We start from the raw sequence: 27,893 nt of genomic DNA, 5'->3' as shown, positions 1-27,893 counted from the left end.
GACGTCTCCTTCCTCGCCTGCCCTGCTTCTGCGAGTCTCACTTCCATTCCTTGCTTAGGGGAGAGTGCTAGATTTTTCCATCAAAGGTCTTGTCACCAGGGTCTGTTTTCTCTCTCGTCTTCACTGGGAGGTAAGACATTCTGTGGTTCTATTAATAGGCTCAGCTTTCTGACCTGCAGATGAGAAACCCTGGATGTAGCTATGGTGACCTCATTGATATGCCAGGCAATTTGTGTTAGGGACAGGTTTTAAGTCTCAGACTGAGGCTATGACTAAATGCTGACATTCATATCTAGAGTACATACTGTGCAAGTTACCATGTAAGAGCTTTGTGTGTTTCATCTCATCAACTAGCTGAGACAGGAAGCATTGTCATCCCCATTTTATAGATGAGGCAACTGAGGCTCAGGTCAATTCATGTATCCAGCAGGTAAGCAGCAGAGCCAGGATTTAAATGTGTAACCAGTGCACTGCGCTGCTTCCTCACAGAAGCTTCACTGGGTGATCAAGTTCAGATCTACTCACTTGGCGAAGCACCTGGCAGATTCCTACCCACCATGTAACACAGAGGTCATGTCTCAGAACTGTCACATCTATTTGCCACAGCTTTCCCAAACAGAGACTTCTATTAAATTTCCAGCAGTAAGGCAGTGTGTTCTAGTAGAAAGTTCAAGAGCTTTGGAGGCAGACTGAGCTATACTAAATTCTGCTTTTTCGACTCAATAGCTACCTGACCTTGGACAAATTACTTCCTCTCTCTGAGCCCACTTTCTTATGTATAAAATACAGGTAACACCACTAGTCTAGAGTGCTGTGAGGCTTAACTGTGATTACGTAAAGGCTAGATCTCTTCCCTTCCCTCCTGAGCCACCAGGGATACTGAAGAGCAGGCAGGAACCATGAGGTGGCTCTGTAGGAACCCTGGAGCTCAACAATGCTGGAAACATGTGCGTGTGTAGTCCCTGTGTGCGGCTCCTATAATCACCAACCACCTGCTCATCAAATCTGGCCGACCTTCTTCTAGTCAACACCTTTAGATGCACCTGGTCCAGTCTGGGTGACTGATTCTACTGCCTAGATTACAGCTCTGAGGGCAAAACCCCTCCAGGGAGGGCACCACTAGCAACACAGAAGTCACACAGCCCTAGAGCTTTTAAAAACACTTCTAACTAATTCATTCTAATATATTATTTCTTATGTATTATTATTTAGTCAACTAATTGTGAAGACTGTAGGAATGAGGGGGAAAGTTTTCTATAGTGCTACATGAAAATAAAACCTGTAATTGTGAACTTGTAAAACTCTATAAACATGACTATGGGTTATATGAAAATAGACAAAATTAAAATTAATTGTGAGGGCTGGGAAATTGTAAATTTCCTTTTTTCAGTATGCTTTAATAATTCTCTTTCAAATTACAAAGTGCACGTTTTAAAGAAAGCCCAATGATGAAGATGTTGACTCCTAAGCAGTGTGCCCACACCACTCCTGCCTGTGGCCCTCATTCTGCCTGCTGTGCCTTTGAAGGATTCAGCTCAGGAGGCTGGGATCAGCTTCCCTTCGCAGAAGGAGCCATACCAGGTTGGAAGTGGGGAGTTCCACTTCAACAAAGCCCTGGGCCACTGAGGGCGGGGAGCTGCAGGGAGGGCGGGAGGCTTTCCATACAGCACGCACAGCTGGCTGCCTCTTTTCTTTGAGTACACTTGGGCTGAGGCAATGAGCAAGCACAACTGCTTCGCCTGCAGTGCCCTCTCGTGGCAGACTTGCCTCTAGAGATAGCAGCCAGGCAAAGCCTGCATGCCAGCGCTGCTGACAAATCACTTTTGAGGCTCAGAGCTGAACAAAAAAGTATGAGAATGAGTCACATTGTGCATTTACATGTATGTCCTAGGAGAGGGTTATGTCCATCACTTGAGGCAGGACCAGTGGTCTGGGGTAGGGCAGCTGGGCATCTAAGAAGCCGGAAGCAAGGCTAACGTCCATCATAAGTAGTTACCATCCACAGACTGAACCCCCATGCCAGGCCGTGGAGCACAGCTCAACGTGGCTTTTCAAAGAGGTACTCAAGATCTGGGGCACGCAGTCTCTGCTCTTTGTTTTTGTTTTTAGCAAAGTCTCTCAGCAGGGCCATGACTTCATTTTCAAATATTTCTGGGGCTGGTTTAGCTTCTGCAAGAGAAGAGTGGGCAGAAAAAATTATGCCATAGTCAGTCAATGCTCAGGTATGAGAATCTTAAAACTCGAAACACTGGCCAAGAACCACAGATGGATATATAGACTGTCTCCATCCTTCTTCTAAATATACACGATGTTAGCCTATACCAGGGGGTGGCAAACTGTGTGAGCCTATATTTGCAAGTCGTTTTATTGGAACAGCTGCTCCCAATGGTTTACATATTACCCATGCTCCTTTTGTGTTATGACAGCAGAATTGGGTACTTGCAACAGAGACCATATGACTACAAGTAAAATACTTACTATCTGGTCCTTTATGAACAAGTTTGCTGACCCCTGGCCCGCACAATCTTGGCTGTACTATTTTGCTTTGCATTTGGCAATTCCATTGTTCCCCAGACATTGTGTTTTCCCTTGCAATGTATATATCTCTTGAAACAAAAGCTCTCTCCTTTGTCTATCAGTTAGAGGTCCTCAGTTTTAAGAGACAGAAACTAATAACTCTAGTAAACTTAAGCAAAAAGGAATTTATTGGAAGGATATTGGAGGCACACAGAACTGTCATGAGCCTAAAGAACCAGATTTCAGTGAACGGGCAACATAGGCACTGAGTCAGAAGAATGAGAAGGCCAGCCTCAGTCTACGGCAGTGGGTCTGGCAGTGTGCTGCTCCCCCTGACCTTTCTCTACACCCTTGGGACACTTATTTAAGATGCCAATTACAAGCAAAGCCTCCCACTGCCAAAGCCGAGGCAATGTGCTCCAGAATTACCCTTCCACCAACACTAGGTACGACGCCAGGAGAGAGAATTCCTCAAAACCAAGTCAGATTCTCCCTTACTCAGCACAGGGCCTGGCATCTAGTGAGGGCTCTGTTTTCATGTGACAATCAACATAAGATCAAAGAGGTTTTGGCTTCCCCCAAGAAAGTAGAAAGTTGGAAAGAATATTGCACTCACTGTAACAACAAGAAAAAGCCAGATAAATTACAAATATTATGACTTTTCTCAAAGATATCAGAGAACTGAGGTCACGAGGCAACCCAACAGACGAAACCTAAGGAAAAAGAGGCCCTTCAAAGGAGAAACGAGAGCCATGCACTTGCTCACCTGTGGCAGGCACAGGAAGAAGAGACACTGGACATCATACAAATGGGTAAAAGGAATTCAGCTAAAAAAATTTTTTTTTTTGTTTGAGACGAGTCTCACTCTGTCGCCCAGGCTGGAGTGCAGTGGTGCGATCTGGACTCACTGCAAGCTCCACCTCCTGGGCTCACGCCATTCTCCCGCCTCAGCCTCCCGAGTAGCTGGCACCACAGGCGCCCGCCACCACGCTCGGCTGATTTTTTGTAATTTTTTTTTTTTTAGTAGAGATGGGGTTTCACTGTGTTAGTCAGGCTGGTCTTGGTCTCCTGACCTTGTGATCCGCCCACCTCTGCCTCCCAAAGTGCTGGGATCACAGGCGTGAGCCACCACGCCCAGCCAAAAAAATTTGTTTTAAATTAATACAGACAGGGCCAGCCTTATGTTGCCCAGGGGAGACTGCAGTGGCTAGTCAGAGGTGCAATTCCACCACTGATCAGCACAGGAATTTCGACCTGTCCCATTTCCAGCGTGGGCTGGTTCACCCCTCCTTAGGGAATCGGGTGGTCCCCTGCTTCTGAGAGGTCAACATACTGTTGCCAACTTTACAGCAGACACCTGATTGGTATAGAGCACTGCAGCCAAGAATTCCTGGGCTCCAGCGATCCTGCTGCCTCAGCCTCCAGGGCAGCTGGGACTGCAGGCCTGTGCCACTAAAATTTGCAATGAATTGTTAAAAGCCAAGTGTGGGCTAGCATGAGTGTATAAAACCACAGACACAGGCTGGGCACAGTGGCTCACGCCTGTAATCCCAGCACTTTGGGAGGCCGAGGCGGGTGGATCACGAGGTCAGGAGATCAAGACCATCCTGGCTAAAACGGTGAAACCCCGTCTCTACTGAAAATACAAAAAATTAGCCGGGCGTGGTGGCGGGCGCCTGTAGTCCCAGCTACTCGGGATGCTGAGGCAGCAGAATGGCATGAACCCAAGAGGCAGAGCTTGCAGTGAGCCGATATCGCGCCACTGCCTCCAGTCTGGGTGACAGAGTGAGACTCCGTCTCAAAAAAAAAAAAAATTAGCCAGGTGTGGTGGCACGTGATTGTAGTCTCAGCTACTCAGGAGGCTGAGGCAGGAGAATCGCTTGAACCTGGGAGGTGGAGGTTGCAGTGAGCCGAGAGGGTGCCACTGCACTCCAGCCTGGGCGACAGAGCCAGCTTCCACTCTAAGCACACGTTAACGCTAGACACTAGTAATGCAATGAAGGTAACCAAAGCAAAAACAACCCAAGCTGAGCTTACCTCCCAACTCACTGACTTGATCCCCACACTAACAGTAAAGTAGAAGAAGCATCCCCAATTGTAAGCATAAATACAATTATGAGAAAATTACGAGACATATACACAAAAGAAGAAAAAAACAACACACTGTCAAGGGACAAAGAAATCAACAGAAGCAGACTGAGGGATGACCCAGATGTTAGAACTATCAGACAGGGAATTTAAAATGACTATGACTAATATTAAAGGCGCCAGTGGAAAAAGCAGACAAAATGTATGAACAGATGAGAAATTCTAGCAGAGTTGGAAACTCCAAAAGTCAAATGGAAATGCTAAAAACAAATACAGTAGCAGATATGCAGAATGGTTTCAACAGGCCCATCATGAGATTTGACATCATCAAGGAAAGAATTAGTGGAAGACAGGTCAATAGATATTATCTAATACAAATAACCCAAACTGATGCACAAAGAGAAAAAAGAATAAAAAACACAAAACAGAGAACCCAAAAGCTGTTGGACAGACTGAGCACAGTGGCTCACGCCTGTAATCCCAACACTTTAAGGGACTGAGGCAGACGGATCACTTGAGGCCAGGAGTTCAAGCCCAGCCTGGCCAACATGGTGAAACCCGTCTCTGTGAAAAATACAAAAAAATTAGCCAGGCATGGCGGCACGTGCCTGTGGTCCCAGTTGCTCAGGAGCCTGAGGCACAAGAATCGCTTGGACCCAGGAGGCAGAGGTTGTAGTGAGCCAAGATTGCGCCACTGCTCTCCAGCCTTGGTGACACAGCAAGACTGTCTCAAAAAAACAAAAAACAAAACCCCCACAACAGCTGTTGGACAATATTAAACCATTTAACTAAGTATAACTAGAATCCTAGAAGGAAAAGAGGGAGAAAACAAAGCAGAAGAAATAGCTGAAGGGGTAACAGCTGAGAATTTTTCAACAATAATAAAAGATATGAAAACACAGATCCAAGATGCCCAGAGAACCCAAAAGCACGATAAATATCAAATGCCTACATATATAAATATCAAATAAATACCTATGTATATAATATTGAAACGGCTAGAAACCAAAGACAAAATATTGAAAAGATTCAGAAAGAGAAGACACATAAAAAGGAACAAAGATACAGCAGACCTCGTCACAAACTATGGAAATGAGAAAACAGCACATGGTAACACCGGAGGGAATATGAAGCTGGTGATGCACTGAAGGTAACCAGAGCAAAACCAAAGTCCAAACCCAGCGGAACTCCTGACTACCCGATCTTGTACACTAAGAGCTGGCGGTAGAAGTGTTTCTATTTAACAGAAGAAAAAACATTGTGACCCTCGAATTCTATATCCAGTGAAAGTATCTTCCAAAATGGAAAATCTGGCCAGGCATGGTGGCTCACACCTGTAATCCCAGCACTTTGGGAGGCCGAGGCAGGTGGATTGCTTGAGCTCAGGAGTTTGAGACCAGTCTGGGCAACATGGCAAAACCTCATCTCCACAAAAAATACAACAACAACAAAAATTAGCTGGGCATGGTGCTGCCGGCCTGTAGTCCCAGCTATTCTGGAGGCTGAGGTGGGAGGATCGCTTGAGCCCAGGAGGTGGAGCCTGCACTGAGCCATGACTGCACCACTGCACTCCAGCCTGGGTGACAGAGTGAGATCCTGTCTCAAAAAAAAAAAAAAGGGAGGAGTGGTGGGGGGCGGAATTTGAAGAGACATGTCACCAAATATACATAAAGGGCTGATAAGCCCTTGAAAAGATCCTCAATATTATTAGTCATTAGGGACATGCCAATTAAAACTATAGTGATGTACCAATATATACTTCTTGGAATGGCTAAAAACAAAAACAAAACCCTGATAATACAAAGTGTGGGTAAAGATGTGGAACACCAACCCCTCCCTTCACATCCAACACCCTGGCAATCACTGATTTGTCCCTGTAAGTTTTGCCTTTTTCAGATTATCATGTAAACAGAATCACATTCTTGGAGTCCAATTATGTACTGAGTATGTACTTGTTGAGTCTGATCTTTTTTTTTTTTTTTTTGAGATGGAGCCTCGCTCTGTCACCCAGGCTGGAGTATAGTGGCATGATCTCGGCTTACTGCAACCTCCGACTCCCTGGTTTAAGAGATTCTCCTGCCCCAGCCTCCCAAGTAGCTGAGATTACAGGCGCCCACCACCACGCCCAGTATTTTTAGTAGAGACGGGGTTTCACCATGTTGGCCAAGATGGTCTCAATCTCCTGACCTCGTGATCCGCCCACCTCAGCCTACCAAAGTGCTGGGATTACAGGCGTGAGCCACCGCGTCTGGTTGAGTTTGACCTCTTTTGCTTAGCACAGAAGCTGGCAAACTATGCCCTGTGAGCTAAGAATGATTTTTAGAGATTGGGTCTCACTCTTGCCCAGGCTGAAATGCAGTGGCGTGATCATAGGTCATTGCAGTCTCTGAACTCCTGGGCTCAAGTGATCCTCCCAAGTAGCTGGGAATACAGTGTGCACCACCAAGCCCAGCTAACTTATTTTTATTTTTGGAGATAGGGGGTCTATGTTGCCCAGGCTGGTCCCAAACTCCTGGCCTCAAGAGATCCTTTGCCTCAGCCTTCCAAAGCGCTGGAATTATAGGTGTGAGCCACTGCATCCAGCCAAGAATGATTTTTTAATGGTTGGGGAAAAAAAATCAAATGTATATTTCATAACTGGTGAAAACAGTATGAAATTCTATTTTCAGTGTCCACAAATAAGGTTTTATTGAAACACAATCATATTCGTTTACCTGCTATCTGTGGCTGCTTTCATGCTACAAAGGTCGAGGTGAGTAGTTATGAGAGGCTGTATGGCCTGCAAAGCCTAAAATATTCATTATCTGTATTTACTATCTATATTTACCTATTATAGAAAAAGCTTACTATCTATATTTACCTATTACAGAAAAAATGTACTAAAAGTTTTATTTATTTATTTTTGAGACAGAGTCTCATTCTGTCACCCAGGCTGGAGTGCAGTGGCCCAATCTTGGCTCACTGCAACCTCCACCTCCCAGGTTTAAGCGATTCTCCTGACTCAGCCTCCCGAGTAGCTGGGACTACAGGAACCCGCCACCACACCCAGCTAATTTTTTGTCGTTTTAGTAGAAACGGGGTTTCACCGTGTTAGCCAGGAAGGTCTCGATCTCCTGGCCTCAGGTGATCCACCCGCCTCGACCTCCCAAAGTGCTGGGATTACAGGTGTTGACTCACCGCGCCCAGCCCTATTTATTTTTTTGAAAGAGTCTCACTCTGTCGCCCAGGTTGGAGCACAGTGGCGTGATCTTGGCTCACTGCAACCTCTGCCTCCCGGATTCAAGAGATTCTCTTGCCTCAGCCTCCAGAGTAGCTGGGCGCACCACCACACGCGGCTAACTTTTGCATTTTTAGTAGAGACGGGGTATTGTCATGCTGGCCAGGCTGGTCTCGAACTCCTGGCCTCAAGTGATCCACCTGCCTCGGCTTCCCAGAGGAGGAGCATGTGATCTCATGCTGAAATTACAGGCATGAGCTACCACACCTGGCCCTATTATAAAGTTAAACATATACACTTACCACATGACCCAGCAAATCCTTCTCCTGAGTATTCACTCAAGAAAAACTAAAACCTATGTTCACAAAATCTGTATGCAAATGTTTACAGTGGCTTCATTTATAATCACCTAAAGCTGGAAATAATCCTAATGTCCCTCAGCTGGTCAAAAGATGAACAGACCATGGTACATCCACACAATGGAATATTACTCAACACAAAAGAATGAACTATTGATACAAGTAACAACAAGGATACGCATCTCAAATGCATTATGCTAAGTCAGGGCAAACTTGTTCTGTAAAGGGTTGGAGAGTAAATATTTGGACTTTGTTGGCTTTCCAGTGATTGTATAAGGCTCCAGACTCTGTCTTATCACTCTTCATACCTGGAACCCATAGACAATGGCTGCTACTTTCTGATACAAATATTGAGTGGAGACACAAAAACAGCAGTCCCGGAGTGTGGCAGAATGAATGACACGTCCCCTAATATCCAGTTTTCATCGATAACAGAATCTCCAACACAGCTGGGCAGATGGAATAGACTATATTATTTTTCCTTATGGTTAGACGTAGCCAAGTAACTAAGCTGTGGCCAATGGCAAATAAGTGGAAGTATGCTGGATAATTTCCTGAGCGGGATCTACAAAGGAGGGGTATGCACTTCCACACACTTTTTCCGGGCTGAAATATGGCTGTCCTGGATCAAGAAGTAGAAAACACATGCTAGGATGAAAGAGCAGCAAGTAGGGGGGACCTGGACCCATGACTTTTTGAAGCCCCTCTATGAGCTCTGGAGTGTGCCTTCCTCTGGACTTCTGTCATGAGAAAGACAGTTCTACCTTGTTTAAGCCATTACTGTTTTGGATGTTTTTTTACTCATAGCCAAAGTTAATCCTAACTATACACAGTTAGAATTCATTCCTCATAAAGGTAGTGCCTGAATGAAACTTTTTTTTTTTTGAGACATAGTCTCACTCTTTTGCCCAGGATGGAGTGCAGTGGTGCAATCTCAGCTCACTGCAATCTCTGTCTCCCAGGCTCAAGCGATTCTCTTGCCTCAGCCTCCCAAGTAGCTGAGACTGCAGTTGTCCGCCACCATGTTCGGCTAATTTTTGAATTTTTGGAGAGATGAGGTTTCGCTGTGTTGGCCAGGCTGCTCTCAAGCTCCTAACCTCAAGCGATCCATCCGCCTCAGCCTCCCAAAGTGCTCAGATTAGAGGCATGAGCCACTGCGGCCGGCCAGAATGAAACTATTGAGGAGCTTTGGCTATGCAGACTTAGTTGTCTGATTCCACTCCATTCCCAGAGTGGTTCTTCTTCAACCTTTGATACTGTGAGCTTCATATACCCTTCCACTAAATTCCTTTTTGCTTAAGTGAGACAAACAAGTTTCCACTCTGTCTCGCAAATAAAGAACTTTAACTGATAAATTTTGTACACTTAACAAAAATTTGAACAGTGTTTGGGTTGAGTGTCTACTTCATGAATAAAAGAAAAAAATTATAAGCCAGGCACAGTGGCTCATGCCTGTAATCCCAGGATTTTGGGAGGCCGAGGCGGGCGGATCACCTGAGGTCAGGAGTTCGAGACTAGCCTGACCAACACAGAGAAACCCTGTCTCTATTAAAAATATAAAATTACCCGGGTGTGGTGACACATGCCTGTAATCCCAGGTACTCAGGAGGCTGAGGCTGGAGAATCGCTTGAACCTGGAAGGTAGAGGTTGCAGTGAGCCGAGATCATGCCATTGCACTCCAGCCTGGGCAACGAGAGTGAAACTCAGTCTCAAAAAAAAAAAAGAAAGAAAAAAATTATCTAGGATACAATTCTAGACTCAAATCAGCCTAAACTGTCCTATTTTCACATTATGCTGCTTATCATACCCAGTACCTGTGGCCCAGTAGTAAATATCCCAGTCATTACTAGGCTCGTTAATCAGGCGGTCATAGAGGTTCAGCTGCTTTTCTGTCATGTGCTGCAGATGTTCTTTAGCAAAAAGACTAAAAACAAGAAAGAAAAAAAGAAAAAGAGGTTGAGAAGGCTGTGTCTAATAAAAGAGAAGTGACACCAAGACTCCTACTCCTGGGAGTCTCTCTGAACCTACTCTGGCTCAGGAAGCTGCCCGATTTAAAAAAAAAGACTCCTAGTCCCATACCTAAGAAGAATGCAGTTTTCCAACATTCCCCTCTTTCTGCTCTCATAGAGCAGGCGGGCTCTTTTGGTTTCTATGGATTCATCAGTTCTCTCCTGCCATGGAGGCAAAGGGATTTCAATCATGTCCTTTTGGGAATCTGTTGGGCTGTCACCTCTGTAGAAGCGTCTGAATGATGTCACACTGAGCAAAGGAGACAATAGGCTGTGCCTTGACAGAGCAAGCATCTGAAATGAACAAACCACAAACATCTTTACAATAATGACGACTATCATCGCTATCATTTACTCAATGCTTACTAGGTGCTGAATGCATTCAATCACATTTAGTCATGAGGAAATTACACTGCTGGCCAGGCGTGGTGGCGCACACCTGTAATCCCAGCACTTTGGGAGGTCAACGCGAGCATGATTACTTGAGTTCAGGAGTTCGAGACCAGCCTGAGCAACATAGCGAGACCCTGTCTCTACCAAAAATACAAAAATTAGCCAGGCATAGTGGGGTAGTCCCACCATGGTGCCTGTGGTCCCAGCTACTCAGGAGGCTGAAGTGGGAAGATCATCTGAGCCTGGGAAGGTCAACGCTGCAGTGAGCTGTGATCGTACCACTGCATTCCAGCCTGGGCAACGGACCCTATCCCCCTGAAAAAAGAAAAGAAATTATGCTGATATTGTCCCCACTTTATAGCCAAGGAAACAGAGGCTCAGGAAGGTTCAATAACTCACCCAAAATCATCCAAATAGTAACTGCAATTAGAATTAAAACACAGTCCTAACTGCAAATGTGTCCCTAACCAGTGCCTTTCCAGAAACTATCCCAGCAGAAATAATTTTTCCTTCCTTTGCACTCCCTTAAAATTCTTACAGTGTGGTTTATACTCTACTCACTCACCTGTGTCAAATCCTGAGCACACAGAGACAGCATGATCCCTAATCCCCCAAAGGCTCCCAATCCAGAGAAGTTGACAACTTATCAAGATATGATGTCAAGGTGGTGACCTCAGCAAGAGGTGAAGATGGTGGAGTAGGAAACCCCAGATCCTCCTTCCCCGATGGAGACACTGAGCCAACAGCAACAAACAAACCAATTCCCTGTGAGAAATCCAGAAACCAGTAAGAGGCTCCTGCTCCCCAGGTGAGCACAAAACCAGCTGCATCGAATCCAGCAGAAAAATTTGTAGCACTCATTTGCCATAGTCTCTTCCCTCCCTGCTCAAGCATGATCATGAGATAACCCCCAGCTCCTAGCTTCTACCTGAGACAGAAAGAGAAGACTGAAAAGTATGTATAATGTTCGGACTTTTGGGGGGATCAGGTTTCTGTTTTGTTTGAATCTAAGTGCTAACAGAAAAGGGCAGCAGGTTGAGGGAGAACAAAGAACCATGGAGAACAAAGGTGACAGTTTAGACTGGCAAGCACTCACTCCCTCATCACTCATCCTTGGCTCAGTGCAGAACAAGCAGGAGAAAACTCCCACCTCCCAGCTTCTCCCTAGGGAGGGAAACAGGTGCAGTATGCATCCAACATTCTAGCTTTTTGGGGCTCTCTGGGGGACTGGTTTCTGTCTCTAAGCACTTGAAAGGATCTAGCACACTCTAAATGCCTGGGTGGCCTGCTGCTGATCCAGAGGATCCCTGAAACTGCAGAGAAAGGCCAATACAGCCCAGTGGCCTCTCCCAGGGTTGAGGGGAGTGGAGTGTGCATCTAATATTCTGACTTTTTTTTTTTTTGAGACGGAGTTTCGCTCTTGTTGCCCAGGCTAGAGTGCAATGGCGCGATCTCGGCTCACCACAACCTCCGCCTCCCAGGATCAAGCAATTCTCCTGCTTCAGCCTCCCGAGTAGCTGGGATTACAGGCATGCCCCACCACGCCCGTCTGATTTTGTATTTTTAGTAGAGACAGGGTTTCTCTATGTTGGTCAGGCTGGTCTCGAACTCCCGACCTCAGGTGATCTGCCTACCTTGGCCTCCCAAAGTGCTGGGATTACAGGCGTGAGCCACCACACCCAGTCGTAACATTCTGTCCTTTGGGGAAGCTACCAGAGGGACTGGTTTCTGTCTTGCCCAGCTTGGGGCACTGATGGGACATGGCATACTCTAAAAGTCTGGAGGCCACCGACAGCTGGGAGACTTGTAGCAGCTCCAGAGAAACTGCAGTATCATACGCAGACACTAGAGGGAGCAAGAGATTATGGGCTCCTGAAAAAGGAAACCGGCAAATCCCTCTAAATGGGAATTTACATCCGCAAGTCCAGAAAAGACACATCCTCAGTAAAGGATTGAGAGGCCCTTGGAATCTCTATCCATGCTGACTAGTGAAGGCCAATCACCAGTACAAAGACCAGGAGAGACAGATGATTTTTCAAATGTAGAAATCACCAGTACAAGTTACCAAGCACATGAATAAAGAGGAAAACATGGTCCTATTAAAGGAACGAAATACATCTCCAGAAACTAACCTTAAAGAAACAGAAGTATATGAATCACCTATAAAGAATTCAAACTAGCCATAATAAAGATGTTCAATGAGCTTTGGAACATTGAGAACTTGAACATTGAGCTTGAACAAAATGAGAAAACCAAAAAAAAGACAGAAAACATTAAAAAATAACCAAATGAAAATTTTGGAGCTGAAGAATACAGTAACTGAATTGAAAAATTCACTAGAGGAGGCCAGGCACGGTGGCTCATGTCTATAATCTTAGCACTTTGGGAGGCTGAGGCTGGAGGATCGCTTGAGCTCAGGAGTTCGAGAACCAGCCTGGGCAACACAGTGAGACCCCGTCTCTAAAAAATAAAAATACATAAAAATTAAAAAATTAGGCCCGGCGTGGTGGCTCATGCCTGTAATCCCAGCACTTTGGGAGGCCAAGGCGAGTGGATCAAGAGGTCAGGAGATCAAGACCACCCTGGCTAACAATGGTGAAACCCCGTCTCTACTAAAAATACAAAACATTAGCCGGGCATAGTGGCGGGCGCCTGTAGTCCCAGCTACCTGGGAGGCCTGAGGCAGAAGAATGGCGTGAACCCAGGTGGCGGAGCTTGCAGTGAGCTGAGATCGTGCCACTGCACTCCAGCCTGGGCAACAGAGCGAGACTCCGTCTCAAAAAAAAAAAAAAAATTAAAAAATTAAAATAAATTAAAAAATTCACTAGAGAAAATCAATAGTAGACCTGATCAAGCAGCAGAAAGAGTCAGCAAACTCAAAGACTGGTCATTTGAAATTAGTCAGGGTTTTTTCTAAAAAAAAAAAAAAAAAAAGGAATGAGAAGGAGTGAAGAAAGCCTTAGGGACTCCATCAAGGAGATCAATATACACATTATGAGAGTCGTATAAGAGAAAGACAGGGGCAGAAAGCTTATTAGAAGACATAATTGGCTGGTCTCAGTGGCTAATGCCTGTAATCCCAGCACTTTGGGAGGCTGAGGTGAACGGATCACCTGAGGTAAGGAGTTCAAGACCAGCCTGGCCAACATGGCGAAACCGTCTCTACTAAAAGTACAAAAAGTAGCCAAGCATGGTGGCGCGTGCCTGTAATCCCAGCTACTGGGGAGTCTGAGGCAGGAGAATTGCTTGAACCCAGGAGGCAGAGGTTGCAGTGAGCTGAGATTGTGCCATCGCACTCGTCTCAGTGATAGAGTGAGACTCCATCTCAAAAAAAAAGACATAATGGCTAAAAACCCCCAAAGTTGGGGAAAGAAGTGGACATCCAGATTCAAGCCTAACAGATCTCAATTAACATGAACCCAAAGAAGTCCATACTGCGACGTATTTTAATCAAACTGTCAAAAGTCAGAAAAAGCTGGGTGCAGTGGCATGACCCTATAGTCCCAGCTACCTGGGAGGCCGAGGTGGGAGGATTGCTTGAACCCAAGAGTTAAAGTACAACCTGAGCAACAAAGCAAGATCCTATGTCTTTAAAAAGTCACAAAAGAGACACCAAGGATGTGCATGCACAGAGAAATGTGAGGACACAGTGAAAAGGTGGCCATCTGCAAGGCAAGGAGTGAGGCCTCGAAAGAAACCAAACCTGCCAACACCTTGCTCTTGGACTTCTAGCCTCCAGGACTATGAGAAAATTAATTTCTGTTCTTCAAACCACACAGGTTATAGCAGCCCTAGTAAACTAATACAGCATGCGATGAAAATTCAGATTCCCAAGCCCCACCATAAACATTCTGGATGAGAATCTCTAGGACTGGGCCCTGACGAATGAATTTTTAACAACCCTCTAAGAGATTCTGATGCAGACTGAAGGCAGGGATTCCTACTTTCTATACTAAAATAACATGATTGAGTAATTTCTACAGAAATGAATGCGGATGGGGAGGACTATCCTCATCAGTACAAGGAAATTGTTCTAATAATTGGGATGTCTTATTATTTTAGCCAAATTTCACCCATTTTTTTCTGTTAGTATCAAGGCAGCATTCCATAAAAGAAACAATAATGGTTGTCACATAGTTCCAGGGAATTGTGTGATACTGGTATGAGTTGTGTTAAATTATCACTGGAGGCCGGGTGCGGTGGCTCACGCCTGTAATCCCAACACTTTGGGAGGCTGAGGTGCGCGGATCACGAGGTCAGGAGATGGAGACCATCCTGGCTAACACAGTGAAACCCCATCTCTACTAAAAATACAAAACATTAGCCAGGCATGGTGGCGGGCGCCTGTAGTCTCAGCTACCCGGGAGGCTGAGGCAGGATAATCGCTTGAACCCAGGAGATGGAGGTTGCAGTGAGCCAAGATCGCGCCACTGCACTCCAGCCTGGCAACAGAGCGAGACTCCGTCTCAAAAAAAAAAAAAAATTAAATTAAAAAAATATATAGAGAGAGACAAGTACAGAATACTATAATACTGTAACTGTGGTATGTAAGTCACTTTTAATTTTGGTATAGAAATTAAAGACAAAGGTATAAAAACAACTATAAAAATTTGTTAATGGAGACAATATAAAAAGATGTAATTTGTGACATCCACAACATACAAGGGGGTCATAAAAGAGCAGAGTTTTTGTATGCAATGGAAATTAAGTTATCAAAACAGATTGTTATGTTTTATATAAGCCACATGGTAACCACAAAGAAATACCTGTGTAAGACACACAAGGAAATGAGAAATTCGTTTCTCAAAGTATGTCACTACAAAAAAAAAAAAGTCAACGAAATATAAAGGATGACAAGAGTGGAAAAGAGGAGCAAAAAGGTTGTAAGACAGAGAACAGTTTACAAAACGGCAACAGCAAGCACAGTTGGCCCTCCGTATCTGTGGGTTCCACACCTGTAAATTCAACCAACTGCACACTCAACCAACTGTGGATCAAAAATATTCAAAAGAAATAAATAATACAACAATTAAAAAACAACTAAGATATAGTATAACAAGCATATACATAGCCTTGACATTGTTTTCGGTATTATAAGTAATCTAGAAATAATTTAAAGGATATGGAAGTATGTGTGTAGATTATATGCAAATACTATGCCATTTTATATAAGAGACTGAGCTTCTGCAGAGTTTGATATCCACAGCGGATCCTACAACAGTCATCCCATGGATACAAAGGGATGATTGTACTTCCCTATTTTATTTATTTTTTGAGACAAGGTCTCACTTCCAATGCCCAGGCTGGAGTGCTGTTGCAAAATCAAGGCTCACCGCAGCCTTGACTTCTCAGACGCACTCCCGCCTCAGCCTCTCAAGTAGCTGGGACTACAGGTGTGTACTACCACACCTGACTAATTTTTTTTAGTAGAAAAGGGGTTTTGCCATGTTGCCCAGGCTGGTCTCGAACTCCAGGACTCACACGATCCACCCACCTCGGCCACTATTTACTTTAGGTATAAATGGATTAAACTCCAGGCCTGGCGCGGTGGCTCACGCCTGTAATCCCAGCACTTTGGGAGGCTGAGGCGGGCAGATCACGAGGTCAGGAGATCGAGACCATCCTGGCTAACACGGTGAAATCTCGTCTCTACTAAAAATACAAAAAATTAGCCAGGCGTGGTGGGGGGCGCCTGTAGTCCCAGCTACTCCTAAACCAGGAGATTGGCGTGAACCCAGGAGGTGGAGCTTGCAGTGAGTCGAGATCATGCCACTGCACTCCAACCTGGGCGACAGAGCGAGACTCTGTCTCAAGAAAATAACATAACATAACATAACCTCCCCAACCAAAAGACATGAAGTGGCTGAATATAATGAATTAAAAAAAAGATTCAACTATATGCCGCACAAGAGACATTTTATTAAAATCTGGAAATCAATGGCAAAAGAAAAGGTGGAAAATTCACAAATATGTGGAAATTAAACAACACACTCTTGAACAATCAATGAGTCAAAGAAGACATCAAAAGGAAAATTAGAAAATATCTTGAGACACGCCGGGAATGGTGGATCACACCAGTAATCCCAGCACTTTTTGGAAAGCTGAGGCAGGAGGATCACTTGAGGCCAGGAGTTTGAGACCAGCCTGGGCAACATAGTGAGAACCTGTCTCTACGAAAAAAAGAAAAAAGAAGGGAAACAACAGGCCGGGCGCGGTGGCTCACGCCTGTAATCTCAGCACTTTGGGAGGCCGAGAAGGACGGATCACCTTAAGTCTGGAGTTCGAGACCTGCCTGGCCAACAAGGTGAAACCCCATCTCTACAAAAATACAAAAATTAGCCAGGCATGATGGCGATGCCTGTAATCCCAGCTACCTGGGAGGCTGAGGCGGAAGAATCGCTTGAACCCGGTAGGTGGAGGTTGCAGTGAGCCAAGTTCGTGCCATTGCACTCCAGCCTGGGCGACAAGAGCAAAACTCCGTCTCAAAAAAAAAAAAGGAAAACAACAAAAAACAAACAAAAAGGAAATATCCTGAGACAAACTAAAACCCAACATATACAAAATTATGAGATGCGACAAAAGCTGTACTAAGAAGGAAGTTTATAGTGTAAACGCCTACATCAAAAAAGAATAAAGATCGAGTCCCTGGGTCTGCAGGAAAAAAAAAAAAGAATAAAGATAGGGATGGGGGTAGGAGGGGAAGATAGAGGCAAAGTTAGTTACTTTATAACAGCAGGCTAGGAAAAAAGAATAATAAGTTCCAGTGTTCTATTACATATTAGAGTGACTACAGCTAATAACACTGTACTGTATATGTCAAGATGCTAGAAAAAGATCTTGAAAAGTTATTACCGTAAATAAATGATAAAGATTTGAGGTGATGGACATGCTAACTACGCTGATTTGATTATTCGATGTACACATGTATTAAAACATTATACTGTACCCCCATAAACACGTACAATTATATGTCAATTATAAACAAACAAAAAGCTGAAGATACTATGTGAAACCACGAAAAGCATTAAAGACTAAAGAACGGGGAGAAGGGGAGCCCAGGGAAGTTGGGCTAATCCCGCCTGGGACGTAGGTGAGAGGCGAATTGGGTCTTGGACGATGACTGATCGTTTAAGCAGATATTTCCAGACCGGCACACAGTAGGCTCACCAAAGAATGGAAGCGACCTTTATTTCCTGAGTTGCAGGATCGGCCTCTCCCTGGGCCTGCCCTTGCCCTGCGCTATCGGGCAGACGAACTCTCCCCAAGATAGAGACCACAGAGGAAGACAAAGGGTAATCCCCGCTGCCGCCCGCCCCGGACGCTAGAACGTTCTCTCTCCTCACCAGCGACGAAGTCGAGAACACTGTAGACACCGCCATTTTCCCCACCTGCACCGGAAACCGGCTGCGCGGGCACTTCCGGGAACTCCTAGCCGCCCGGCCAGCCGACCACGGCAGCCACGGAGGAGCTGAGCCGGAAGGTGCGTCCCTGCGCATGCCGGAAGTGGCGGTGCGTGTGACGCCGGCGGCGGGGGGGGCGGGACCTGGGGCGGAGAGCGGTTCGCGCGCTTCGGGCCTAGTCCGGACTCGCCGCCGCCGCCGCCATATTCCCGGTAACGGGGGCGCGCGGTCGGGGGCAGGTTGGGCCGGAAGAGGGGTCCGGGCCGGCACTGAGGCGGGAAGGGGGTCGGTTGAGATGGGACGGCCGGAGTCTGCGGGCGGAGGGAGTCGCGGGCCTTTTGAGGGAGGAGGCAGAGCGCGCCGGGCCGGGTTTGTCGGGAGGGAGCGGGGCGGGCCTAGCTGGGGGCGAAGAGTAGGCCTGGGTTGGGGGCAGAGGCGGCTGGAGCTGCTTGACACCTGGGGGCTCTGGCCGGAGCCGCCTTGGGGGCTAGGCAGGTGCAGCGGATAGGGGCTGCGGGCTTCGCCGCGGTCATTCTTCGCAACGCCGTCCTAGGGCCACTAGGACCCGAGGGTGGGACTTTTCCGTCGCGCCATAGGCAGCTGCGGCGCAGACGCGGCGCTACCCGGGTCGGGCCCGAGGGTGATGGGCAGCGACCCCCGGCGGCCTGGGAGAGCGGTGGGCGGCGCGAGGCCGGGGGCGGGGCGGAGCGGGTGGGGCCGAGCTGGGGCCGCCAGGATGCTGCGTCTCTGGAGATGGGAGGTTAGCAATCATTACCCTCTTCCCAGCCCAGGACCCTCGTGCCTTCTAATTCTTGCATTTTTCCGAATCCCGCAGTGGCATCTTCCTTACTTTGTCCATCCTCCGGACTCGCGATCTTCCTTCCGGAGCCATGTCAGAAGGAGTGGACTTGATTGATATATATGCTGACGAGGAGTTCAACCAGGTGAGGTGTCATCAGGAGCTTTGGGATTTTCCTTGATCATCTGAGGAATCATTTTCAGCAAACTGGCAGTGGTTTCAAGCTGTACCAGTCCTAGGCTTGAACACGCGTCTATCCGGTCTAAAATTTTTCTCCTGCAGAAACTTTAAAGACTACACTCCATTCCTCTTTATGTTAATTTGAAGCTCCAGGCTTAATTTTAAAGGCTTTGATTTAAGAGCAAATAAAAAGCAGGTGTAATAGAATGGTGAATCAACCTGTGGAATTTACTCCCCAGGAAGCCAAAGGTGGGTGTCAGACTAACCACACTTAAAAATCAAAAGTACATTTGCTACGGTATTCATGAGGACAGTGTTGATACCGGTTCCTTTACATTCTCAACCTGCAGCTGGAGAAGTGTAGTCCCCTCCATCGTGACAGTGCAAAAGCAAAGTAGAAAAGATGACTTTAACATTTAGTTTCAACTCCATTCCAATTAAGTTTTACTTCCTTTTATAAGTAGGTTGACTCCAGTCATGAGAAGTCCACAGGCATTTTGGTATAATAAATTGTATTGGTTACCTTTAGTCTTTCTAGAGGGAATAAAAGAGTAAAGACGTTAGACAAACCAGTTAGAAAACTGATAATAGACCCATGCACATACCCTCAGTTGGATTTGTTTTTATTGTACCAGGGAACATTATACAGAAATTTATCTAGAGCTGGGCAAGGTGGCTCTTGACTGTAATCTCAGCTGCTCTGGAGCCTGAGATGGGAAGATTACTTAAGACCAGAAGTTCAATACCAGCCAGGGCAACATACCAAGACCCAGTCTACAAAAATGTAAAAAAAAACAACAACGAGATATGGTGGCTTGTGCCTGTAGTCCCATCTACTCTGGAGAGTGAGGCAAGAGGTACTCCCTGAGCCCAGGAATTCAAGGCTGCAGTGAGCCATGATTGGGCCGCTGCACTCTATCCTGGGCAACAGAACAAGACCCTGACTCTTAAAAACACAAGAAAAATTCTCTCAAAGAAATAATCTTCCATGCAGTTAAGTTTTTCAGTCTTGAGGTCAATTCTCAAGAATGTTCCAAAATTTCTATTGAAAACGTACTAATATCTTGCCTGGGTTATTTTCAGCACCATTCTATGTAAGTAAGCTGGCTCTTCCCATTTGCATCTTCCAGTGGGTACACATAAGGACCTGGTAAGAGCATGTATTGAATGGGTTAGAAAGGGAAAGTTCCCTGGTTTGACCCTGACTTTGATATGAGGCAACAGAAGAGGCGGATACATGCCATTTATTTTTCACTTGGCATAAGTTTACATGAAAATCTATTTTTTGATGTATTATGGTTTTATAACATGGAAATTATAAACCATACACAAAAGCAGAATAATGTAATGACCTTGTACCCATTATACAGCTTCACCAATTATACTTTTTAATGGCAGGTTTCTTGTCTCTGTTGTGGTTAACTGTGGTCCTTTAAATATAGCTGCTGATTATCTTAAATAGATGAATTTTCCTTTTTTTTTTTTTTTTTTCTTGAGACAGAGTCTCTCTCTGTCACCCAGGCTGGAGTGCAGTGGCGCGATCTCGGCTCACTGCAACCTCTGCCTCCCAGGTTAAAGTGATTCTCCTGCCTCAGCCTCCTGAGTAGCTGGGACTACAGGCGTGGGTCACCTCACCTGGCTAATTTTTGTAATTTTAGTAGAGACGGGGTTTCACCATGTTGGCCAGGTTGGTCTCGAATGCCTGACCTTGTGATCCGCCCGCCTTAGCCTCCCAAAGTTGGGATTACAGGCGTGAGCCACCGTGCATGGCGAAAAAATTTTTTAGTTTTAAATAAGTCCAATAATTATGGATAAAAGAGAAAAGTTCTAGATGTTAATTTAGTTACAAAATCATTGTTTTCCTGAGTTTTCCATATTCATTTGAATCAGACTTTTAATACCTTAAAAAAAAAAACACACAGTCTTGCTGTGTTGCCTAGGCTGGTCTCTCAACTCCTGAGCTCAAGCGATTCTCCCACTTCAGCCTCCCAAACTGTTGGGATTATAGGTGTGAGCCACTCTGCCCAGTTCAGACTTTTTGCAGATTATGTTTTTCCCCCACCAAGATAACAAGAGCGGTCCTTAGTTCTTCTCTTTTTTTTTTTTTTTTTTTTTTTTTTGAGACAGAGTCTCTCTTTGTCGCCAGGCTGGAGAGCAGTGGCACCATCTTGGCTCGCTGCAACCTCCTTTTCCCAGGTTCAAATGATTCTCCTGCCTCAGCCTCCTGAGTAGATGGGACTACAGGCGCGCGCACCGCCATGCCCAGCTAATTTTTGTATTTTTAGTAGAGACGGGGTTTCACCATGTTGGCCAGGATGGTCTCAATCTCTTGACCTTGTGATCTGCCCACCTCGGCCTCCCAAAGTGCTGGGATTACAGGCGTGAGCCGCCGTACCCAGCCACCTTTGTTATTAATGAAAAGCTTTTCCCCTTCTAATTTCTTATCTGTGGATTGATAATAGTGCCATTCATTTCACTTTGAGAAATACGCAGAACTCATTGTCCAGTGGTCACTGCTTTGTTAGAGTATAAGTTATTGGCCTCAATAGTTTGTTCTCTGGTCTCCTCAGTTAAAAAGGACTTTTTTATGGGTCTAAGACAGGCTAAAGGTAGTATGTGGACTTTAATAGATACATATATCCAACGGGCAATATTTGACACTAGGCAAGCTGAAGAAAGTGTGAATTTTGAATATCTTATGTTTTGTGGAAGGTGAGGGATGAGTGCTTCCCCCCCACACACATATCAATTAGTTATTTTTGACAAAGTTAGTGTTAGTGTCATCTGGAAGCTACAGAAATTATTTAAAAAACAAAAAAACAAAAAAACTTTGGCTAGAATTGTTAGAAGCTGGCTTAGTCTGAAGGCACCCAGTACAAATTGTGTTTTAGAATGTTTTAAGAATGTTACTGATTTCGCCCCAAGCTGGCCCATGCACAGGAAGCCCTTCATGTGCACTTTGCTCCTCAAGGAAAATTAATATTTTTCCTAGATGGAACCCTATGGTGCTTATTCCCTGATCTCTTAGAGCATTTGCTGCAAAAGCCTGTTTTTGCCAGAGCTACTTTATTCCTGTAACACAGGGAGTCCTGGGATTCACATTGGCTCTCTTGGGCCAGGGAGAACTCTGGAAAGGTGACTGAGATCAGTTGCTCTGCTGGGAGTTTTGGCTTTTCATACTGAGACAGGCTTTGCACAGTGTCCAGTTCTCTTCCTTATGTCCATCAATAAGTATTTATTTATTGAGCTACTTGTGTTTGCTAAGCACTGTGCCAGGACTAGTGAGGTAAAAGGAAAAAAAAGTGGGTCCCTGTACTCAAAACAGATTCCACTCCTGGTGGGTAGGGGTGGTGGACAACGACAATGTACAGTGAAGGACAAGGAGGGTGTGAAGTGGGAACTGTGGAAATGGTCATTATAAAGCCAAAATTTTTGATTAAGCCTTGGTTACAATTAAAAGAAACAATGGTATCAAGTTGGTTGCTCTGAGAAAAATAAATCCTAGGCTAGTTACTTCCCTCAGTGGGATATGAGGAAGAAGAGGGTGGAGGTTAGGAACACTGAGCAGACAAGTGGAGAAGATCTTATTTAAATTGAAAATCACACATGTTCTCTTTTGTTTACAGGGAAGCAGGAAGTTTCATGAGACAGTCACAGTTCTTTCTGTGCCATTAAACACAAAATTCTTTGAGATAGTTATTCAGTATTAAATATATGTTTCATGTTTAATCTCCCTGGAATGAAACTTTGAACATCAGTGCATGTAAAATGTACTTTTCACTTAATTTGTAGAATTTGATTTTACTTTAATCTATTACTGCATAAATCCGCTGAGAAAAATCTCCGGCCCTTAACTGTGTTTCTGTCTTACTAGCTGAACAAGTAAAATGAATTGTGATGCTGGGGGATTAAAATCCAAACAATTTGATACCTTGTTTCTTCAGTAGAACCCTCAACAGACCTGCCCTGTGCAGTTCCCACCAGCTTCTTTGAACTGAGGCTCTGTGGCCCAGAGAGACCATTTAAATCTTGTGATAATTTTGTATTCATTCAATCCTTTTGTTTCTAAAAGTGGTAGCCATACCAAGATTCTCCAGGATCTAGTCTATCCTATTCTTAAGGGATCTTAAAACAGTGGATTGGTTGCCTAAGCATATAGTACGAAGGGTTTCCTGGTGATGCATTTGGTCTCTGAGCTGTCCAAATCTGCATGTTAGTCCACTACTCAATTTTCAGTGATCATTTTTACATTACAAATTTTAGACACATATACCTGAATTACAGATACTGCATGGAAGGGAATCTCAGTTTGGTTCCATTCGATTATCCAAGATGATGTGTTTCCTTATTCTGTTTACGTGTCATTTGAAAATCCTTGATTTAAAAAAAAAGAAGGCTGGGTGCAGTGGCTTACGCCTGTAATCCCAGCACTTTGAGAGGCTGAGGTGGGAGGATCACCTGAGGTCCGGAGTTAGAGACCAGCCTGGCCAACATGGTGAAACCCCATCTCTACTAAAAATACAAAAATTAGCTGGGTGTGGTGGTGCACACCTGTAATTCCAGCTGCTCGGGAGGCTGAGGCAGGAGAATCACTTGAACCCAGGAGGCGGAGGTTGCAGTGAGCCAAGATTGCGCCACTGCACTTCAACCTGGGTGACAAAGTGAGACTCTATCTCAGAAAAAAAGAAGAATCTTGGTGTGAAGTAGTGCTTTCTAAGGATTTGAGCATTGGATGGGATCAAGTGATGTATATAAATCCTTTCTCTACCTTGAACCACAGGAGCAACTCACCATACCTGGTACATGAATAGAAGAGTGATTTGTCTATAGAGTTGGGATAGTTTGAGACGTAACAGCTATGAAATATTTTATAGTGATTACTTACACACAAAATGTTTTCCCACTCATTAGCCCTAGCTGACCTCACCTTACTTTATTATCCACCCTGTCCTCTCCAGTGTTAGCTTCTCTCCTCATTCTTTACATGCTGACCCTTTTTATGCACAATCCTTTTTGATGGATTTGACTACATGGAACAAGCTTCCTGTGCTTATTTGCCTCACTAATTTCTTGTTGTTAAGTTGCCCCCTAAAAGTTTACTGTCTCTTGATATTCTTTTTCTAACGTTTTTACAAGGGTTAAGCCCTCCTGGTGGGTTTCTTAGAGTGTTTTAATATTTGAAATTATTTATATGCTTTAGGAAGTAGAATCCTTCCCCCTTCTCTATCAGAACAACCCAAGATTATTCTCTTAGTGTGCATTTTCTTCCACTGTACTTCAGATAAACTGAAAAACTGAAAGATTGTTTCCAAAGGTTCTTATAATACAAGGACTGGTCTAAGAGTAAATTTTTTAGTGAGTCGTCTTCAGATCACTTCAGAATTAGCAGTTATTGCCGTGATATTGGAGGGAGAAAGTTAAGGGAGCCGCCTGTCTTTAGTTGCCTTGGAGAAACTGTTTCTTCAGGGTACTAGACAAGTTTCCCAACTTAGGTGCCTCCTTTATTCCCTTTTTAAAAGAATAGCAATATGAAACTGCCGTAGCATCCTTAAAACACTGAACTACTTGCTGTCTCTGTCATTTTGGCAGCATTATCTTTAGCATTGTTTGAATGTTTTGTCTAATTCTTGTAATAAAAATAAAATGCTTGTCTAATCCTTAAAAAGATTTCTCTGAGGCTAGGCACGGTGGCTCACGCCTGTAATCCTAGCACTTTGGGAGGCCGAGGTGGGCAGATCACGAGATGAAGGGTTTGAGACCAGCCTGACCAACATGGTGAAACCCCATCTCTACTAAAAATACAAAAATTAGCTGGGCATGGTGGTGTGTGCCTGTAATCCCAGCTACTCAGGAGGCTGAGGCAGGAGAATCACTTGAACCCAAGAGGCAGAGGTTGCAGTGAGCTGAGATGGCGCCACTGCACTCCAGCCTGGGCAATGGAGCAAGACTGTGTCTCAAAAAAAAAAAAAAAAAAAAAGATTTCTCTGAGGTAATTACATTGTAGAATCCTGAACCCTTTTTTTTTTTTTTTTTTTTTTTTTGATATGGGGTCTCACTCTGTTGCCCAGGCTGGCTCACTGCAACCTCAACCTCCCGGGCTCGAGTGATCCTTCTGCCTCTCGAGTAGCTGGGACTATAGATGTGTGCCACCATGCCCAACTAATTTTTGTATTTATTGTAGAGATAGGGTTTCACCATGTTGCCCAGGCTGGTCTGAAACTCTTGGGCTCAAGCAGTTTGCCTATCTCTGCGTCCTAAAGTGCTGGGATACAAGGCGTGAGCCACTGCACCCAGCCTGTAAAATCCTAAACATTAAGGTCCTGTATCGTAGTAGTAGTAGTTGTAGTTTTAGGGGTTTTGGTATATAGTAAGTAAGATATCACATAGGCAGAATATGTATTTTGCACATTTTCCATAATACATATTCATATTGTAAATGCTTACTGTGTGATACAGTTTATGTTCTTGTCCTGTTTTCTGGCCCTTATATTTTAGAGAACTTTAACTGTTTTTTGTATATCATTGAATATTGGCTGGGCATGGTAGTCACCCCTGTAATCCCGGCACTTTGGGAGGCCGAGGCCAGTGGATCACTTGAGTCCAGGAGTTCCAGACTAGCCTGGGCAACATGGTGAAACCCTGTCTCTACAAAAAAAATTTGAAAATTAGCTGGGCATGGTTGCGCATGTCTGTAGTCCCCAGTTACTTGGGAGACTGAAGTGGGAGGATCACATGAGCCCAGGAGGTTGAAGCTGCAGTGAGTTGTAATTGCACCACTGCCCTCCAGCCTGGGTGACAAAGTGAGACCCTGTCTCAAAAAAAAAAAAAAGTCTCCTAGATACATGTCATGGTAATGCATTGGGCCTGTATGTCATTTAAGAAATAGAACTTAGTAGGGGAAAACCCCTGTTGTTATTCCCTTCCCTTTTATTTATTTTTTATTTTCTCCGATGGAAAGATGGGATTGTGTACAATGAGTTTAGAGCTTTCCTAAATCATTTATACCAATCAAGGGATTTAAATCAGTAACTCCCAATCTTTTCTGCATTTTTGTACCCACTTTCATGCTTTTCCTCTGCATTCTGTTTCTAAATAAATTTATTATTAAATAGACAAGTGAATTTTATGTAACACTTGATTTTGGAAATAGCATAAGATACTGAAAATAAGTTTTCATTAGCTTATCTTAGATGTGGTCTTTAGAAGCTGACCTTATTGATAACAGCAGCCCATGCATCTCATTATGCATTCTTTCTTTGCTTGCTTAATCACCCAGTGCTTTTTGATTCTTGCCGTTGGCTAAAGCCAGAAACTTTACAGACTATTAACAGAATCTTGAGGGGAAAAAAATGTACATAAGCATAATTAAGTGATACAGTTTCAAAAGGAGGTTTTTCTTACTTTGTTTCCTGGGGTAGGACAAGGAAGTTTTGTACATGTTTTACCAAGTATTTAACTGGATTCTAATAAACTAGAGTGAAATAGAATGAACAAAATGAAGTTTGCAGACCTACCTTTGCCAACCCCTCATCTCTTAGGACCCAGAGTTCAACAATACAGATCAGATTGACCTGTATGATGATGTGCTGACAGCCACCTCACAGCCCTCAGATGACAGAAGCAGCAGCACTGAACCACCTCCTCCTGTTCGCCAGGAGCCATCTCCCAAGCCCAACAACAAGACCCCTGCAATTCTGTATACCTACAGTGGCCTGCGTAATAGACGAGCTGCCGTTTATGTGGGCAGCTTCTCCTGGGTGAGTGTGGGTAACCAAAAATGCTTAGGGGTGGGCTGGAGGGAGAGCACTGGGAGGTGATGGCATTTTCAGAAACTACTGTTGCACTGTTTTGTGCTCTGATGGGGTTGGATTTCTTTTTCCTGGGATCAGGTTGGATTGATCTCTGAAAGAGAACTATCCTGAGGACGTACTGGTGCCGAAGAAAGCAATGATTAAGTGGGTAGTTGCTTTTTCTGCCATCTTGTTACTGCCCCTGACCCTGGGGCTTTATGTCTAGCAGGGTCATCTGAGGGACGAGATTTCAGAGTGAACACCTTGAACTCTTGGTGGTCATTAGATGGTCCTGTGATAATGGTGGGTGATGGGGATTAAAGACCTTGATAACTCTAGTATACTTGGGGTAGGTGGTGACTGTTGTTCTGCAAGTTATTTTGTGATGTTTTGGGGCTGGTGGTGGGGGTGGTTTTTCCAAATTAGGAAGTATATTTACTGTGGGGGAAGTTCTGGCAATGGTCAACTCTAGCCTGACAGATCTATAATTAAAAAATTGCTAGCTGTCAATGTTTGAACTGATGACCAGCCAGCCCAAACGGCAGTCAAAGTTACAATAAGTTTTAATCTTCGTAATCTCTAAAGATGGAGATTGGGGGTGAGTGGGTTTGGAATTCTGTATGGGTGAGGACAATAAGAAAAGTCTGCACTAATTGAAATATTGCCAGGCTTTTGAGTTTCCTCTGGGGGGACTTAGTTGTGACTAGAATCCTGGGTTTGGGACATTGGCGGGCGGGGGTGTAGCTCTTGACATCTCTTCCTTTTCCATCTTGCCGGCCCCAGTGGACCACAGACCAGCAGCTGATCCAGGTTATTCGCTCTATAGGAGTCTATGATGTGGTGGAGTTGAAATTTGCAGAGAATCGAGCAAATGGCCAGTCCAAAGGGTGAGGTCTGGATTTGAGAAGCCCCTTTTAATTTGTAACCATTGGGATAAAAGATCTGTACTATATTTTGGCCCTGGATTTTAATCACTCCCACCCCTGGCCCAGCTTACTGCCTTGGTTTTGGCAAACTGCCTTAGAAAGGGACCTAGCTGCAGTGTAGTAGAATATCCATCTGTTAAGGGGCGAAGAATACTGATTTTTAATTCCAAAAAAATAAAGATTTAGGCTGTCTCTTTGTTGTTAGTGCTGTATG

General features: G+C 44.7%; 2 protein-coding genes and 1 pseudogene across 26 annotated transcripts in view, besides 7 other annotated features; 1 reads left to right on the top strand and 2 right to left on the bottom strand.

Moving 5' to 3' along the window:
• Positions 1,021 to 1,768: an enhancer, noted in NCBI's record as "H3K27ac hESC enhancer chr11:61213814-61214561 (GRCh37/hg19 assembly coordinates)". NCBI's record gives its function as "activates a minimal SCP1, AML or CMV promoter by ChIP-STARR-seq in primed H9 embryonic stem cells {active_cell/tissue: H9 hESC(primed)}" and the evidence as "EXISTENCE:reporter gene assay evidence [ECO:0000049][PMID:30033119]".
• SDHAF2 (succinate dehydrogenase complex assembly factor 2) lies at positions 1,377 to 17,986 on the bottom strand. The gene is made up of 4 exons (NM_017841.4): positions 17,928 to 17,986; positions 10,262 to 10,485; positions 9,997 to 10,106; positions 1,377 to 2,169 (listed from the first exon to the last, which is right to left on the bottom strand). The coding sequence occupies exons 1-4, from the start codon at positions 17,961 to 17,963 to the stop codon at positions 2,039 to 2,041; spliced, it is 501 nt and encodes a 166-aa protein (NP_060311.1). The 5' UTR covers positions 17,964 to 17,986; the 3' UTR covers positions 1,377 to 2,038.
• RN7SL23P (RNA, 7SL, cytoplasmic 23, pseudogene) lies at positions 3,687 to 3,961 on the bottom strand (annotated as a pseudogene).
• Positions 17,856 to 17,915: an enhancer, noted in NCBI's record as "active region_4798". NCBI's record gives its function as "activates an Ori minimal core promoter by ATAC-STARR-seq in GM12878 lymphoblastoid cells {active_cell/tissue: GM12878}" and the evidence as "EXISTENCE:reporter gene assay evidence [ECO:0000049][PMID:35858748]".
• Positions 17,856 to 18,225: a biological region, named in NCBI's record as "ReSE screen-validated silencer GRCh37_chr11:61197385-61197720".
• Positions 17,862 to 18,197: a silencer, noted in NCBI's record as "fragment chr11:61197385-61197720 (GRCh37/hg19 assembly coordinates)". NCBI's record gives its function as "represses an EF-1alpha promoter that drives an FKBP-Casp9 reporter gene in an ReSE screen in phorbol 12-myristate 13-acetate-treated (for megakaryocytic differentiation) K562 erythroleukemia cells {active_cell/tissue: K562(+PMA)}" and the evidence as "EXISTENCE:reporter gene assay evidence [ECO:0000049][PMID:32094911]".
• Positions 18,056 to 18,225: a silencer, noted in NCBI's record as "silent region_3393". NCBI's record gives its function as "represses an Ori minimal core promoter by ATAC-STARR-seq in GM12878 lymphoblastoid cells {active_cell/tissue: GM12878}" and the evidence as "EXISTENCE:reporter gene assay evidence [ECO:0000049][PMID:35858748]".
• Positions 18,135 to 27,893, top strand: part of CPSF7 (cleavage and polyadenylation specific factor 7) — a 27,247-nt gene continuing 17,488 nt past the window's right edge. For 5 of the 25 annotated variants that reach the window (XM_017018345.2, XM_005274298.5, XM_011545257.3 and 2 more), the window contains exons 1-4: positions 18,135 to 18,353; positions 18,820 to 18,928; positions 26,502 to 26,720; positions 27,537 to 27,640. In XM_017018345.2, coding sequence (XP_016873834.1) covers positions 18,280 to 18,353; positions 18,820 to 18,928; positions 26,502 to 26,720; positions 27,537 to 27,640 — 506 coding nt within the window. In that variant the 5' untranslated portion in view covers positions 18,135 to 18,279. Of the gene's footprint in view, positions 18,354 to 18,819; positions 18,929 to 26,471; positions 26,721 to 26,852; positions 26,919 to 26,979; positions 27,057 to 27,536; positions 27,641 to 27,893 lie in introns of those variants that run through there. The other 20 variants (XM_047427623.1, NM_001142565.3, XM_047427622.1 and 17 more) reach the window with 10 other exon arrangements.
• Positions 18,272 to 18,920: an enhancer, noted in NCBI's record as "NANOG-H3K27ac-H3K4me1 hESC enhancer chr11:61196662-61197310 (GRCh37/hg19 assembly coordinates)". NCBI's record gives its function as "activates a minimal SCP1, AML or CMV promoter by ChIP-STARR-seq in primed H9 embryonic stem cells {active_cell/tissue: H9 hESC(primed)}" and the evidence as "EXISTENCE:reporter gene assay evidence [ECO:0000049][PMID:30033119]".
• Positions 18,336 to 18,765: a silencer, noted in NCBI's record as "silent region_3392". NCBI's record gives its function as "represses an Ori minimal core promoter by ATAC-STARR-seq in GM12878 lymphoblastoid cells {active_cell/tissue: GM12878}" and the evidence as "EXISTENCE:reporter gene assay evidence [ECO:0000049][PMID:35858748]".

Source organism: Homo sapiens, chromosome 11 (assembly GCF_000001405.40).
Source record: "Homo sapiens chromosome 11, GRCh38.p14 Primary Assembly".
NCBI lineage: Eukaryota > Metazoa > Chordata > Mammalia > Primates > Hominidae > Homo > Homo sapiens.
This window is presented reverse-complemented; position numbering and strand designations above follow the sequence as displayed.